Source organism: Homo sapiens, chromosome 1, assembly GCF_000001405.40.
Source record: "Homo sapiens chromosome 1, GRCh38.p14 Primary Assembly".
NCBI classification, from domain to species: domain Eukaryota; kingdom Metazoa; phylum Chordata; class Mammalia; order Primates; family Hominidae; genus Homo; species Homo sapiens.
This window is the reverse complement of record NC_000001.11, coordinates 218,025,897-218,042,078: the sequence shown is the minus strand read 5'-3', so window position 1 is coordinate 218,042,078 and position 16,182 is coordinate 218,025,897. Positions and strand designations below refer to the sequence as shown.

At 35.5% G+C, this 16,182-nt stretch overlaps 1 long non-coding RNA gene across 1 annotated transcript in view, besides 2 other annotated features; it reads left to right on the top strand.

The window, feature by feature from the left end:
- The window catches only part of LOC105372922 (uncharacterized), a 132,858-nt gene that overhangs the window by 6,849 nt on the left and 109,827 nt on the right, over positions 1-16,182 (top strand). The gene's annotated exons all lie outside the window — the stretch shown is intronic.
- Positions 6,923-7,989: an enhancer, noted in NCBI's record as "VISTA enhancer hs1257". NCBI's record gives its function as "enhancer in: hindbrain (rhombencephalon)[5/6] | trigeminal V (ganglion, cranial)[3/6]" and the evidence as "EXISTENCE:transgenic organism evidence [ECO:0001131][PMID:17130149]".
- Positions 7,154-7,690: an enhancer, noted in NCBI's record as "OCT4-NANOG hESC enhancer chr1:218207731-218208267 (GRCh37/hg19 assembly coordinates)". NCBI's record gives its function as "activates a minimal SCP1, AML or CMV promoter by ChIP-STARR-seq in primed H9 embryonic stem cells {active_cell/tissue: H9 hESC(primed)}" and the evidence as "EXISTENCE:reporter gene assay evidence [ECO:0000049][PMID:30033119]".

Sequence of the window (16,182 nt, the reverse complement as noted above, 5' to 3'; positions counted from 1 at the left end):
AGTATTATTATACATTCAATTTGTTATTTGCTGATTTTGCTCCAAGCAGCTTCCTCACCATCAAATCACTAGCTATGCATCCATCATCATTGCTCCTCCATGTCTCCTATTTAACTTCTCTTCTTTGAAATTCTCTTCCACTTTCCATCTTACCTCTTCAATGCCACTTTGTCTGGATCTCTGACTCCTCTTCTTCCCTGACTTAGAAATTTGGATGTTCTTAATCATATCCACGGCTTGTCTCTGTTTTTTTTTTTTTTTCACCTATATTTTTTTCTTTAGTGATCCCTTTTATTTCCTAGCACCATTTCTTAAATTATTTCATTTTACATGTAATTCATTCATTTTACATGTAATTTATCAGTACTAGAAACTGTAAACCGTCATTGATATGTATGTAAACACTAAATCTATAATCTGTAGTCCCATCCTCTCTTCAAACTCTGATTTCACACTTCCACTTGAGATGTCCTTTTGGAGAGGCTGAAATCTTCAATCTCATTTTCGCAAACCTAACCCATAGTCTTTCTTCTCCTCAAACTTGGCTTTTTTTTTTTTTTTTTTTTTTTTTTGGTTAATGTGTTCTATTTCTATTACACATCCTAACCTTGCTACTTAGGTGTGATCTTTGACTCTTTCCTTGCTTTTTCTTACTCTATATCCAGTCAATCTCCAACTCCTATGTATTCTGCTGCTAAAATGTCAGTTTATATCTAGAAAACTCTCACTAACACTTGTCTGGACTAATTGCAATAGTCTGTTAATTGACATAGTCTTTGTAAAATCCAATTTCCTTTCATTGGCATTATCTTATTCATGATCTATCTTCAACTTACTTTCCAGACTTCTATCTTATTAATTTTCTATGGCACAGCCAAACATAATTATTCATCTTTCCTTAAAACATCCCAAACTTTGTGTCTCTTTGTTCATCATTTACTTTTTTCTTTAATGTGCCCACCACCCCTTTACCTTGTTGAAATACAATCCATCTTCAAGCTCCATCTTGAATACTACCACCTCCCTGGAGATAATTGATTTCTTGATCTCATGATTTCTTCTCACTCTGAATTCCCACAGGAATTTGTTTCTACTGCTCTTATTTTGTACATTTTCAAGACTTTCATTCCATATAGCCCAATATTATGGCTATGTATGCCTGTCATCTCCCTCACTCTTGTATATTCCTGTAGCTCTCTCACTATAGTTAGCTCAGTGCCCTGCATGTGGTAGGCATCTGATGCAGAAATGGTTGCGTGACTGAGCCACTTGGCCATATAACTGAGTCTTGATGTTGTGCTTCTCTTAAAACATTCATCACCAGGCCAATTTCAGTGAAACATTCCACAGGATTTTCAGAATCATTCCTTTCTAAAGATGAAGGGGCAAGCACTCTGTAAGTGCTCAATATTTTCTTAGACCATGTACATTGAGGTCAGAAAAGGAAACAGCCCTCTAGGGAGTTTTCAAATGTCCTTGAAGAGTGTGAAATTAATATAGGTATCTTCCAGCTTTTTAAAATTGTCTTCTGATATATGAAAAATGCCTATGCGGATAAAAAATCCATCATTCAATGGGTACTAATGGGAGCAAGACCTGTAAAGGTAAAGCTCCTCAGACAGAACAATGTAAAGCTGCAAGTGCCTTCATTGCAAAATGCTTTGCCACCTTAAGACCTGAAGCAAATAAACTTCAGTGAGGACACTTACATAAAGACACATTCACCCATTATCTCTCTTCTCTGCAAGGACAAGAAATGGATCTCAGGGTCTCTTTTTGAGCATGATGGCTGTATTTATCCTGAAGTGATTATTCACTTACTTGTTAAATATTGCTCCATTTTAGAATATTAAAACTAATATTATTTCTGGCTTTCGAAGTGATATGTCACTTGCATCCAATATAGAGAAAATCAGCTGTTATTTAAAAACTCCAGAGAAAAGAGAAGCATGTACAAACCTTGGGAACTGCAAAATACCATATGGGAACAAGAATTATGCTAATGTCCAACTTACAAGAGAAAAAGAGCAAAACTGAGGCAACAGCTGCTCTCAAACAATGATATTCAGGAGAATGGCACTGAAATATGTTTAATTTTTAGGATTGAATATCTCAGGTTCCTAGTCTTGCATGAGCAAACCTAGATATAAGAGCAGAAGTTAATCTGACCTAAACTTTTTGCACATAAAACCTCAAGTTGCTTAGCACCTCAAAGACCTGCTGCCAAATATTTTAACTCCCACCTCAATCTGATTCCTAAGGTATAATTCTGAGACCAACAAATTCTTTATCTTGCACATTTGTTGCTAGAAAATAATTTCACATTTCTGAAGGGCAATTAGGTAATTCCAGAGTACATGTCTTAAAATACACAATATTGAGTTATCTTCTGTTTAAAAACAGCTTTATTATAATTCACCTACCATAAAATTCACCCATTTGAAAGCGTACAATTCAATAGATTTTAGTATGTTTACAGACATGTAAAACCATCCCCACAGTCAAGTCTAAAACATTTTCTTTGCCTCAAAATAAAACCTTGTACCTTTAGCTATCATCCCCTACCCACCAACCTCCATCTGATCCCTCAGTCCTAAGCAACCAATAATTTACTTTCTGTCTCAGATTTCCCTATTCTGGACCTTCATAGGACTGGAATAATATGATGTGTTGATGTTATGTGACTGACTTGTTTTCCTTCACATAAAGTTTTCAAGGTTTGTCTGTGTTGCAGCATCTATCAATACCTTAATTCTTTTTTAGATGGAATAATATTCCATTGTATGGGCATACCATATTTTAAAATCCATTTGTCTCTTGATAGTCATTTGGGTTCTTTCCACCTTTTGACTATTATGAATAATGCTGATATGAACGTTCATGAACAAGCTTTTTTGTGGACATATATTTTCATTTCTCTTGGATATATACCTAGAAGTAGAATTGCTAGGTCATATAGTAACTCTATGTTTAATCATTTGAGAAACGGCCAGATTGTTTTTAAAGTACATGTACCATTTTACATTCCCATCAGTAGTGTATGAGTGTTATGCTTTATCCTTATCCTCTTCAACACTTGTTACTTTCTGACTTTTTAATTCTAGTCAGCCTAGTGGGTGTGAAATGATATATCATTGTGATTTTGGTTTACATTTTTTTATAACTAAGGATGTTGACCATCTTTTCATGGGTTCATTGACCATTTGTACCCTATTGTCTGGAGAAATGTCTATTCAGATCTTTTGTCCATTTTAAAAATTGAGTTGTTTTACATGATTGAGTTATAAAAGCTATATATTCTATATACCAGGCCACTTTTGGGCACATAATTTGCAAATATATTCTCCCGTTCTGTTGGTTGTCTTTTCTACTTCTTGATGGTGTTCTTTGAAGAACAACAATTTTTAATATCAATGACATTCAATTCATCTATTTTTTTCTTTTTTTCCTTTTTTGCTCATGCTTTTTCTTCCATCTCTGAGAACAATTTGCCAAATCCAAGATTATGAAGATTTAGACCTATATTTTTTTCTAAAAACTGTAAAGTTTTAATTCTTTCATCTAGGTCTTTGAACCATTTTGAGTTAATTTCTATACACTACATGAAGTAGGGATCCAACTTTATCTTTTTACATGTGACTATTGTTATATCTGTTCCATTTGTTAAAAAAAAAACCCACAAAACTATTCTTTTCCTATTGAATGGTGTTAGCACCCTTATTGAAAATCAATTGATCATAGATGTATCAGTTTATTTCTGGAGTCTCAGTTCCATTCCATGGATCTATATGTTCATTCCTGTGCCAGTGCCACACTGTTTTGAGTACTGTCACTTTGTAGTAAGTTTTGAAATCTGAATTCTCCAACCTTATTTTCTTCAGGATTGTTTTTGCTATTTTTGTCCCCTTGCAATTACATGTGAATTTTAGTATTAAATTGTTAATATCTACAAAGAAATCAGCTGGGGGCGGGGCACTGTAGCTCACACTTGTAATCCCAGCACTTTGGGATGCCAAGGCAGGTGGATCACAAGGTCAGGAGTTCAAGACCAGCCTGGCCAAGATGGTGAAACCCCATCTCTACTAAAAATACAAAATTAGCTGAGCATGGTGGCAGATGCCTGTAATCCCAGCTACTCAGGAAGCTGAGGCAGGTGAATCGCTTGAACCTGGGAGGCAGAGGTTGCAGTCAGCCGAGATCATGCCATTGCACTCCAGCCTGGGCAACAGAGAAGACTCTGTCTCAAAAAAAAAAAAAGAAAGAAAGAAAAAGAAAAGAAATCAGCTGAGATACCGGTAAATGGTAAAGTTTTTGTTAAACCTAGGTATCAGTTTGTGGAATATTACCATCTGAACTGTTGTCTTCTGATCTATGAACCTAAAAGCTTTTCCATTATTTGGTTTCCTTTACGTTCAACAATGTTTGTAGGGTTCAGAGTATAAGTTTTGTACTTCTTTTATCCCATTTCTTTGTAAGTATTTTATTCTTTATAAAGCTATTGTGAGTGGAATTGTTTTCTTAATTTCTTTTTCAGATTGTTCATTACGAGTGTATGGAAGTAGAATTGGCTTTTGTTATTGATCTTGTGTCCTACAACCAACCTTGCTGAACTAACGTATTGATTCTACTAGTTTTTTTAGTGGATTACTTAGGATTTTCTAAGTACAAGGTCATGTAATCTGTGGATAGAGATAGTTTTACTTCTTCCATTCCAATCTGTATTCCCTTTATTTCTTTTTCTTTTTCTTGCCTAATTACCCTAGCTTAAATCTTTAGTATAAATATTGAATAGAAGTGGCAAGATCAAATATTCTTGTCTTATTTCTGATCAAAAGGGAGAAACTATCCAGTCTTTTACCATTAAGTATAATGTTAGCTATGGGGTTTTCTTGTAGATGTTCCTAGTTTGTTGAAAGTTTTTATTACAAAAGAATGTTGGATTTTGTTAAATGCTTTTTCTGCATCTGTTGAGATGATCTTATGGCTTTTGTTTTTCATTCTATTGATATCATGTTTTACATTAATTGATTTCAGAATACTAAACTATATAACGTTTTACATTAATTGACCTCAGGATTTTAGCCTATTGATACAATGTTTTACATTAATTGATTTCAGAATTTAATATTAAATTAACCTTTTATCCTTGGGAAACATTCCACTTGGTCATGGAACATATTTCTTTTTATATGTTTTGGATATACTGTGGAATTTTCAATGAGTTTCATCCACTCTATAGAGTGTGTTTGTATTCTTGACAGCATAAGGAGTGCAACAGAAATGCAGGCATCACACTGAGGGTTCGGCATTTCATATTTATCACAGTGCGTTAGTACTATTTGTTGGCTGACTGCTGACCAATATTGAAAATACTTGGCTTCCTTTACTCACTCATCATATGATAGTTTACTACATCCTCATCAGTCCAAACTCCAAACATACATTTGAGTGAAAAAGCCCAACCAGCTCCTTGCTGTTACATACTAGGTGCTCTGTATATATTTGTAGACTAATTAATTGATTAGACAATGGGTCCTGAGACATGCAGGCAACTCACATGTCATGTCTGGTATCTTGGGCACATTTGTAGGCTGTCCATACAGAAGAGCATCAGACTACCATCAAGTGGCAGGTTGGGAGAGCCATCTCAGGAACTTAGAAGGGGAGCAAAGTAGGCATGTCATGTTCAGGAAACATGGCTCCAAGCCTCCTGAGTAGTGGTTTTATTGCGAGCTGAAGCAAGAAGTGGGATATAGAAACATGAAACATGATTTTACTTTATCTGCTAGAAAATAACATGATGGATGCCTTTCTCTGAGTTCCCACATGCCCTGCGCAGGCCTCAGTCATAATACTTGCTGATTTACTTGCCAGTCCCCATTACCGGAATGTCTGCATATTGAAAGTGCTTGGCATACAGAAAGTGTGCAATAATTGCTTTTTGAATGAGTAGATAGTAAGCTGACCGATCCATTTGGTGGGTGACAATGGTGATCATAATAGCTTTGGCCAAATAAAGCAAAGCAACTCTCAGGGAAAGAGGCTACATGTTTTAAAAAATATTTTAAAATAACAATAGCTACTGTAATCAAATAGTAGATTTTGATGTATTTGGCTTTAGCAGAAGTGTAATTCGATCGGAAGTCTTGAACAACATAGATGATGCTGTTTTATACTCCAAGGGCCAAGCTGCCAAACTCACATGCTTCTTCTCATTTCTAGAAAACAGCAATAATCAACTCCCAACAAATCCTCAAAAAACAGTTTTTCCAAGGTTAAAGCACACACAGAGATCAGGAATAAAGAAAGGATGTTTCTGTCTTTCATTAGTGCACTACATTTCTAAGGCACCTACAATTATATTTTCTAGAATTCATAAAAGTATTATGCTAAATATAAAAATTGATTGCAAATTGGATCCTAATTTTCAAAACATTAAAATATGCATTCTAGAAGCAAAGAAATAGAGTCTATCTGTTTGCACTTTTCAGCTCATGATATCCCACTAAAAATCAAATAGCATTTTAAACATGTGTTTAATGTGGTGTGTTTTTTCTGTTATGTCATATCAGGATGACAATGAGGTACTTTAATGATAATACTGATGACCATAGTACTCTTTAAATCTCACTTGGATACTTATCCAACAGGGCTTAACTTGTGGGTAAATAGATGTCTGATTATATCTATGTAAACCAATTGCAATTATTCTTGTCCTTCAGATAATAAGGGCTTCCCAGCTTTGTGCAGTTTCAAAGGAAATAATTTTGGTCTTTTAAACACAATAACCAGCAGGCAGAAATGAGAACAAGAGCATTTAAATTCCTGTGGAAAATAGTATCTCTGCAATAGGGAGGGGGTCCTTACAAGTCAGGGAAAGATAGATGTGGCTTCCAATGTACTTTTCTCTGCCCTAAGTTCTTGGTTCTCACAGCTCTCTTGGTTTCATAGCTGATTTCATTTAGAAAACCAATAGATGGGAAAGACTTTTATCCTCTAAATGTACTGCCTAGCTTGAAAAGAGTGATATGTACAAGGTGTTTTCCTTTCACCCAATGACAGCTTAAAACCTAGTGTAGTAGACACTGAATTTAAGGCATTTGAAAATCTGGTGAAATTTTTAGAGTATCCGACCCCACGCCCACATATTGTATGAAAGAGATGTTCTAGTTAATCTTTTTTAAGGTCCTATTCACTTAATGGAAATGCTTAGCTGCATAATTGCTTTGAGCCTATTGCCATTCCAAATGGAAAATATAATAATCTAATGGTATTGTCTCTATAAGAGAATGAGAATTTCAGGAGTGGCTGTTGGTGCCACCCATGTGATCCAGAGAGGTTAATGCAGTTAAAGTTATTTCACAGTCCATTAAGGAGCTTACGGTGACCTCGCGACCTTTGCGCCAACAACACGGAATCCATTATCATCACAATGGAGGAGCTGTGGGTTCGGCTGACTTGACAATGGGCCCGGGAAATCCCAAGTTAGTACTTAGTTTAAAAAAATGCACTTTTCTTTCTGCTTCTTGGGTATGGCTATTAATATGCCCTCCTATAATTTGTAACATTAACATTGCTGAAGGTACAGAAAAGGACATTGAAATGAAGATGTCAAAACTGCTGACTTAGTTCAGTGCATGATAATATTGGCTATGTATTGAAGTAGTAGATATCTAACAGCAAAATCAAGATGAAGAAAGTCAAGGAACTCAGTTAAATTAATGATAAATTATCACAGGTTATGAGATTCATTTAGGCAAATAATAGCTTTCCTCCATTTTTTAATGTTACTTCCTATTCTGAGATTTAATACATGATTTAGAAAGAAACAAACACTTTTAAATTAAGAATAAGAATGTTAAGAATGCAATTCATCAAAACTACATTAAAAGAGTTACTTTATGAAAATCCAAATTTCAGAGAAATGTGACACATTGTGTTACTTCAAGCACATCTCACTATGACAAATAATGCCACCAGACAGACATTAATTGTTTGTCTTTCTTCTATACGTAATTGGGTGAAAGATATCACTGTCATTTTTTTAAATAGATTTAAGGCATGGGGTTAAAAAATAAAAATTTTTATGAGAGTACTGGTTAATAGGAAAGTGTTAATTAGCATTTTTGCCCTCCAAGATGAACTTTACTACACAGGACTCTACTGTGGAGAAATAACAAATATTAAAATTAAAATTCGATTTTGCAGTACAGGTACTTTCTATCAACAGAAAAGAAATAGCAGATCAAATAGTTCTTATGCCAAAAAAATTAAACAAGATCATTTATAGATGTAAAGGTTAAATTGTAAACACAGGTTGCGAAAGAGCCATTTATATTTCCAGAACCCAAAAAGGAATTATTTTAAAATAATTTAAGGAAGGCATTTAAATGTAATTAAAGAATCTAGCAGAACATTTCAAAGATAGTTATTGCTGATGTTAGTTAACATATCTTACCTCATTTAAACACAATAAGGTTTCAGCATTCATTACAGTTCCAAATGCCTGTAATATAATCACACTAAAGCTGAGATCTCGAGTTAATTTTCAGGGACACATTGTGACGATGGCTTTTTATGGTTTGCTGTCTGAGAAAATAATTTTTAAAAAAGTTTCTCCTACTACTGATGATTCAGAGGAAAATAACATGATCAAACAGTATTTCCTAAACAGTTCTAGTTGAGACCTGTTATATTTGAGAAAAAATCTTCAAATGACGTATTAAATTTAGTGTTTGAAACTGATGTTAAAATCTACCTGTTAAGATTTAGAATTAAAAGAAAAGTATCTTCTAGTAGGTTTACATTAATTTGAATAAATGTAACTCAGAAATAATAAACGTAATAAATAGGTATTTAATCATTTATTATTAAGGAAGTTTACAGAGGCTATAGTTACCAACCATTAAGCCTACAGTGATGCTGTTTCTAAAAGAGGGTTTAACACTATTTGGCTTTTCAATTTTTACATTGTTTTTAAAATTTTGGAATAATTAAAACCAACTGGGGACTTATTTTAAAAAGTCAGTGAATTTAATTCTGTAATTCATTTCATAACTTACAAAAGAAAAATAGCCAGATAATATACTTTCATTATCAGCTCTAATTCATTAACTAAAATGTTTTGCAAGATATTTACAGTAGTTGGAAGATGTATTTTTTATTGATGAACTCTAAAAGATATGTTTTAAATGTCTTTTCTCAGCGAATATTTGTTTTAATGATTAATCTAATTTTCATTGTAATATATTTCCTGTTAAGCATCTTATTCCTTAAATAAGCCAGAATTTCAGACAGGAACAGTAAGGTCCAGAATGAGAAATTGGGAAATAGAAAAGCAACCATGATAGGTGGTTTTAAAACAGTACATATTTTAAAGGTGAAGAAATAATACAGAGTAATCATGGGTCAGAATTTTATGTGTGCAAACTACAACAAATTTTGATGGAGTTCTAAGCCATAGTATATAAAAGTTTCTCCACAATTTGCAAAATATAATACTAAAAACCACTTAAAATGGATGTAACTATTGGACTTGACTTTCTTACAGTGTTACTGATAAGTGTCATTATTATTACTATGAGCACACATCAGAAACTGAAGGTTTAAGCATTGCACTTGTTTTCCTTTAACTTTTCTTAAAAAATATTGCTGGTTCTGACAGTTCTGTTTTCTGAGGGCTTTGTTTGCAAGGGGACCCCTTCTATCAAGAACTCTCTCTTTATAGAAGTATGAATTAATAATAGAAAAGAAAAAAAAACCTTCAAAACTCTGGCAAAATATAAAACATGATTCTTAAAGGAGAAATGTGTAACTCCAAGCTCTAGTGAGACAGAGCAAATTTGCTATGTAAAGATGCTTCTATTTGACTAAAGGGAAAGTTATCGCTGAGAGGCTGGCATAAAGCGTGAAAATATAAATGCTGCTTCCAAAGTGAATCTCAGACTTCAGTAGCCAAAAATAAACTGGTTCTTGGCTGAAAGACATAAGTGCAATTGTGAAATTGATATCCCTCCTTGGCCGAGTCCCAGACAATATGTTGCCTTTCGGGGGCTGATCAACGTGATTGATGCGATCTGTGAAAGCCAGGGGGGTGCTCCCCTTTAATCAAACCCACCGTCCTCGACAGAGAGGCAGCTGTGGACTAACAAGTTCTTCAGGCTTTCTCCCTCCAGGTCTTTTTAGAAATCTGACAGCCCAGAAGGAGAAAAAGGTGGCAAAACAGCCGCGAACCAAACTCCACCCTGGAAAAGAAAAGGAGAGAAAAGAATGAAAAGATCAGCTATTGATTGAGACATAAGATGGCAGCAATTGAACAGTATATTGCCTTTCAAAGAGAAATTCAGACTTCACTTTTAATGCCATAACAAACTGACTAAAGACATGCAGCTAAGTTTTTTTTTTTTTCCTCCTAAAAAGATATTTTTTTCTGCTTCTACCTAGTAGTGATAATCAGGGTTATAGGTTCAACACTCTTGTTTTTTCATATCCCTCTTCAGTTTTTATGTTTGCATCATAGATTTTAGAGTTTTAGTAATCTATCCCCCACAAAAGACATGCAAAGATAAAGTCATGGAGAGAAAAATAACCTAAACTTTTTCAGGGAGTAGCATTAAGTTTACAGACATGCTGTGGTTATCAGTGTTTTGAGTTTTAAACACCAGGTCCCTAATCTTGTAATCACTGAACTTAACCACTTGTTCAGACACTTCTCTGCGCTACAAATGAAGGCACAGGAATATTAAATTGGAGCTTTTGCATTTCCTATGGTAAATATTTCCAAACCTATAGCAAATTGGCACTGTTCGTTTCTTCTATAGCTATCATATGACTCAAATTGATTCTAGCTTAAAAGATCAACACCAGGGTATGATCTATTTTTTCAGGGTTTTCTTCAATGTTGAAAGGCTTCCAAATTATTTAACCTTACCACACTCCCCTGCATTGTTGTCCTATTCTCACATAATATTCTGGTGCCAGATTGTCAGCTAATTATGTCACAAGCAATCAACTAACAAAGCACAGCCATTCTTGCCTGGAGAATGAACCTTGTTTCAGAGCTACTCCAAGGAAAAAATAGGTTCTTTCATTAAAGAAATCTGGAGCAAGAGTTTTATTTAACTCTACATTCCATTTCAACACTGCTATTTCCTTGATGCTGTGGGGATGTTGATTGCTGGTTATTTCTTAAGCAGCTGCATGGGGGAACACCCTGCAGCTCCATGAAGCCCCTGGTTCATCACGAAGAGGAAATGGGAAGATGCACAACTATTTGGTAAAACTATTATGTCGATTTTAAAAATGAAAACCAACAAGTCATCTTCCTCCAAAAGGTCTTTTATGGCTTAATCTCTTTGAACAATTACCTCAGGTAAAGACTCGGTATGGAGGAAAAATACAGCAAATTGTCAATGATGTGTTTTAATGGAGATGAGGTTTAGCACAGACATGCAAACTAAGGGAATACCCAGAAATCACTGATAGTAGAAAGGTGAATTTGTGATAGAAGTGTGGAGTTGTCTGGATATGTTTCTAAGAGTAGGTGAAATTAGGTGCCTAACAGAGAGCCTGGCATGGTGTTGGCCCTCAGTAAAGACTAGTTCCCAGGGCCAGGCACAGTGGCTCACGCTTGTAATCCCAGCACTTTGGGAGGCTGAAGCAGGAGGATCACCTGAGTTCAGGAGTTCGAGACCAGCCTGGCCAACATGGAGAAACCCTGTCTCTACTAAAAATACAAAAATTAGCCAGGTGTGGTGGTGCGCACCTGTAATTCCAGCTACCTGGGAGGCTAAGACAGGAGAATCACTTGAACCCGGGAGGCAGAGGTTGCAGTGAGCCAAGACTGCACCACTGCACTCTAGCCTGGGCAGCAGAGTGAGACTCCATCTCAAAAAAAAAAAAAAAGAAAAGAAAAAAGAAAAAAAAGACTAGTTCCCCTTTTTATGTAGGCAAACTTTAAAATTAGTTCTCAATTTTTTAGTACATGGCCGCTTGGAGGTAGAGAGACCTAGCCAAGTGATATAACAATAAAAAGCCTGCATGGAAAAAACATTTACTAAGAACAAATGATTTATGTTAGTACCCATCTTTCCCTTCATCTATTAAGGGTTTAATGGTATTCATCATCTATTTAATAAAATAATCATTTAATGATGAATATATTTTAAAATCCTACTGGGGAGGGAAAACTAACACACAAGAAGAAACTGGATAAAATGTTACAATACACAATTAAGTGATATACCTTATACCATGAATAATAAAATGCAACAGGAATTCAAAAAATAGGAAAATTTGCTCATGGCTGCTTCTTGAGTTTCTTAGGTTGTTCCTCAGAGTTGCAAAGCCAAGAAGAGCTTTCAGGTTCTTGGTTATCAGCAAACGAGAGAATAATCTCTTGGAATGCTGACCAGTCCAATACTTTGCTCTGATAATAAAAATGTGAAACTTGAAATCCTGATAAGTTAGGATTAGAATCAAAATTAAAGTTTTAGGTACCATGACCACTAAGATCCTAGGGACTGAAAGTATATCTCCTGTACCTCCAACTATTAATACTTGTTATGGGGCACTACTTACTATTCTCATAAATTTCTTTAATTATATTGATATGAGTAGAAAAAATTTTTAAGGTGAGCCCCTAAAAAGCACCAAACTGCTAAGAATATTAATGAGATCTTCATTGAAAATAATGACGAAGAGAAAAAAAAATTGTTTGGAATGTACATAATGCATTTATTTTTAGTAAGACAGGCTGCATTTCCATCTAGTGTGACAGAAAACACCTTCATCCAAAGGGTTGTTAATTTCATAATGGATGATTCTGGGAAAATAAAATCTTAGCTTGAGAAATGAGTAGATATGCAGGAATACTGCAGAAAAGGATGCAATTTTCACAGTGTTTCACAAGTTGAATCTAATTCAGCTCTGCGGTATCTTTTACAAGACCATGATCTTGAAAACACAAATAGGACAAGAAACCAAAGAAATAATTCAGTAAACCTCTCATTATATTGACAATGATCAAAACTTAGTGTCAAGGCCTTTACCTATGGATACACTAAAACGATAAGTAATTCTTAGGAGGGTCACAGACACTTAAAAGGTGTTAAAATTAGGCATAAGGCAAAATTTAAGAAGTCTGAGTTTCCCAGCTTGGTGAAGTGATTTGTGATTAATATGCTGGGATATAAGAAGTTATAAGAGATTAAAAATGTGATCATATATTTCTAATTTCCACCACCAAGAGAGGAAAACGAGTGGGCAAGTTTAAAATGCATGAAGGGGATTGAGGTTAGAAATTCTGAAGATGGCCTGGACAGGGAAGATTATACTGAAATTTATAACTTGAAAAAGTCTGAAACTGTTTTCCCTGGAGATCTTTGAAAATAGAAGAGAGATGATATATTTTGGTCCAGAATGATTTTAATGCCATCCTGTGTAGAGTCAAAAGAAGAGGTGACTAAAAATGTCATATCCTGGCTTTGAAAACAAGATTATTATGAAGTCAGCCTACATTCTTCCAGTAAAATAATGCCAACAGGAAAAAACAATTTGATTTCTGTTGCTAAAAAAGTGGGTTAGGTTTAACTTTTCTAAGTTGCACACTCTATGGTAAATTTGCCTCCAAGGCCTTCCCCTGCCCATCCCCTCCCCCCAAACAAAATTAAAGAAGTCAACATATTCACAAGCGCCATATGCAGACCTTCATGTACTTATTGGATCTGTGATTGGGGTGCCTTACTTAGGTGGGTTTTTATCTTCATGGGGATCTTGAGGTTTGCTGTTTAGAAGGAAATAGGAATTCTAAGACATGAAAGTAATGTAATTATTCCTATTTTAGGATGAGTTTTGGGACTTTTAAGGCATTATAGATTTTTGTTCTTGTATTTATTCTTTTTTGGTAACAAGAGCGAAGCAAAGCATATGTAAAGTAGTAGTTCATAACCATATCCAATTGGAGGCTGGGAATCTTTAAATAAAAAGTGTTCAAAGTTATATAACCTGTATAAGGCAGCAATTATATTTTAGTGCCTCTTTGAGAAGTACATAGAAAACAATGTATGATTCCACATGGACAATATGTGTACTTTTAAGTGAATTTTTAGAAAGCGTTATTAGTCACTATCTTTACATACACATGGAAAACAGGTGTTTTTGTCTTCAGTCTATAGGCAATGCCTGGTGCACATGGACTGACAGAAACTCTTCAGGGGTCCTCAAGGACCCCTTGCCCTTGGGTTAGGAACCTCTTTTCTAAAGAAAGTGACACTCATTCTTTTTGGCATTTTCCTTCTTAGCATGCAACATTATCATCAATGGAGAAGAAAATCTGTTTTTAGGGGGAACTCAAATTTGAAATAAGTGACTCAACAGTGATTGGAGATGACTTGGCGCATAGAGGAAAGTAATATGCTATTTACAGTGACAAATTTCACAGTTGTTTAACTTCAACCCATTTTAACCATTTGGGGAAAATTTATTTAGCCACTAAAATTAAAGATTAAGAAAATCAGCCTCTGGAATCACCGAATTAATGATTTTTCAAGGTGTCTTTTTCAAAACAGCACCTTATTTATTGCCTACATTCTAGATCAACATTTAAAAGGTCTTCTTTCAGCCCCTGTCAAGCAGGCCTATTAGGAAGTGAGTAAATTTAATAAACACACAACTGCAGTAAGTATGCATCACCTAATTTGCATGTCTGTGCGGGTACAAGTGCAGTCAGTGGGGGCAAACAGCTGTCTGCTCTTCGTTTGTGTGGGTAGGTAAATGAGGCCCGCAGAAAATGTGTCTCTATCAAATATGGCAAACCTAGGATTGGAAGGGAGTTTCAGAAGCCATCCGGGACATCTTCAGGCACACTACATTTAAATCATCCCAAAGGGATATTGGTCTGCTTGTTAAGATCATTGTAAGAATATGCCTCTAAAGAGAGTTAGGAAGGAATAATACACACAGAAGAAACAAACAAAAAAAAGTATATGGTATATTTAAAAATTTTTTTGGTCAGGCAAGGTGGCTCACGCCTGTAATCCCAGCACTTTGGGAGGCCGAGGTGGGCAGATCACCCGAGGTCAGGAGTTCAAGACCAGCCTGGTCAACATGGTGAAACCCCATCTCTACTAAAAATAACAAAAAATTAGCTAGGCATGGTGGTGGGTGCCTGTAATCCCAGCTACTCGGGAGGCTGAGGCAGGAGAATCGCTTGAGCCTGGGAGGCGGAGGTTGCAGTGAGCCGAGATCGTGCCACTGCACTCCAGTCTGGGCAACAAGAGTGAAACTCAGCCTCAAAAAAAAAAAAAAAAAAAAAAATTAGTTTGATAGGAGGTATAACACAATTATTCCATTCTGAAATACTATTTGCTGTAAAAATGGGATTTAAAACTTTTGCAGTAAAATGACATATCAAGTCAATTAGTTGTTTTTGCTTTTAATGGTAATAAGTATTTGTACTATATATCTCGTGGACTATAATACCAAATAGGAATCCCAATAGGGGAAGAGTAAGCAGGGTGGGGGCAGTAGGCGAGGTGGGTCCTCTATGTAATTTGTACTAGTCTTACTGGAAAGAGGTCCCAAGCCAGACCCCAAGAGATGGTTCTTGGATCTCATGCAAGAAACAATTCAGGGCGAGTCCACAGGGCAAAGCAAAAGCAAGTTTATTAAGAAAGTAAAATGGTGAAAGAACAGCTACTCCATAGACAGAGTAGGGCATTCCCGAAAGTAAGAGGAGGAACGCATCCACCCTAGGTACGATACTTATTTATATATAGGATGAAAAAAGATCACGGAGAGATGTGCTTCTGCTACAGGGGTTTGTGATAAAGGATTCATTTTTTTAATTACTGTATTTTGCAAGAATTGATATTATTATCTTTAAAGCAAAATTAGGAATGCTTCTGTTCCAAAGATATCGGGATATCAGGACACTTCTAAGTCTGGGTCTGTTTAGTAAAAGTTATCAATATGTTCCCTTAACCGTAAACATCTAGAGGCTAGGAATACCTAACTTCCTGGGAATGCAGCCCTGCAAGCCCCAGCCTCATTTTTCCTAGCCCTCACTCAAGATGGAGTCACTCTGGTTCGAACGCCTCTGACCCTAGGTCACTCAGATCTTACCAGTTTTCAAAAACAGATACCATCCTCTGAAACTCAAAATGTATAATTGAGTTTTATCAA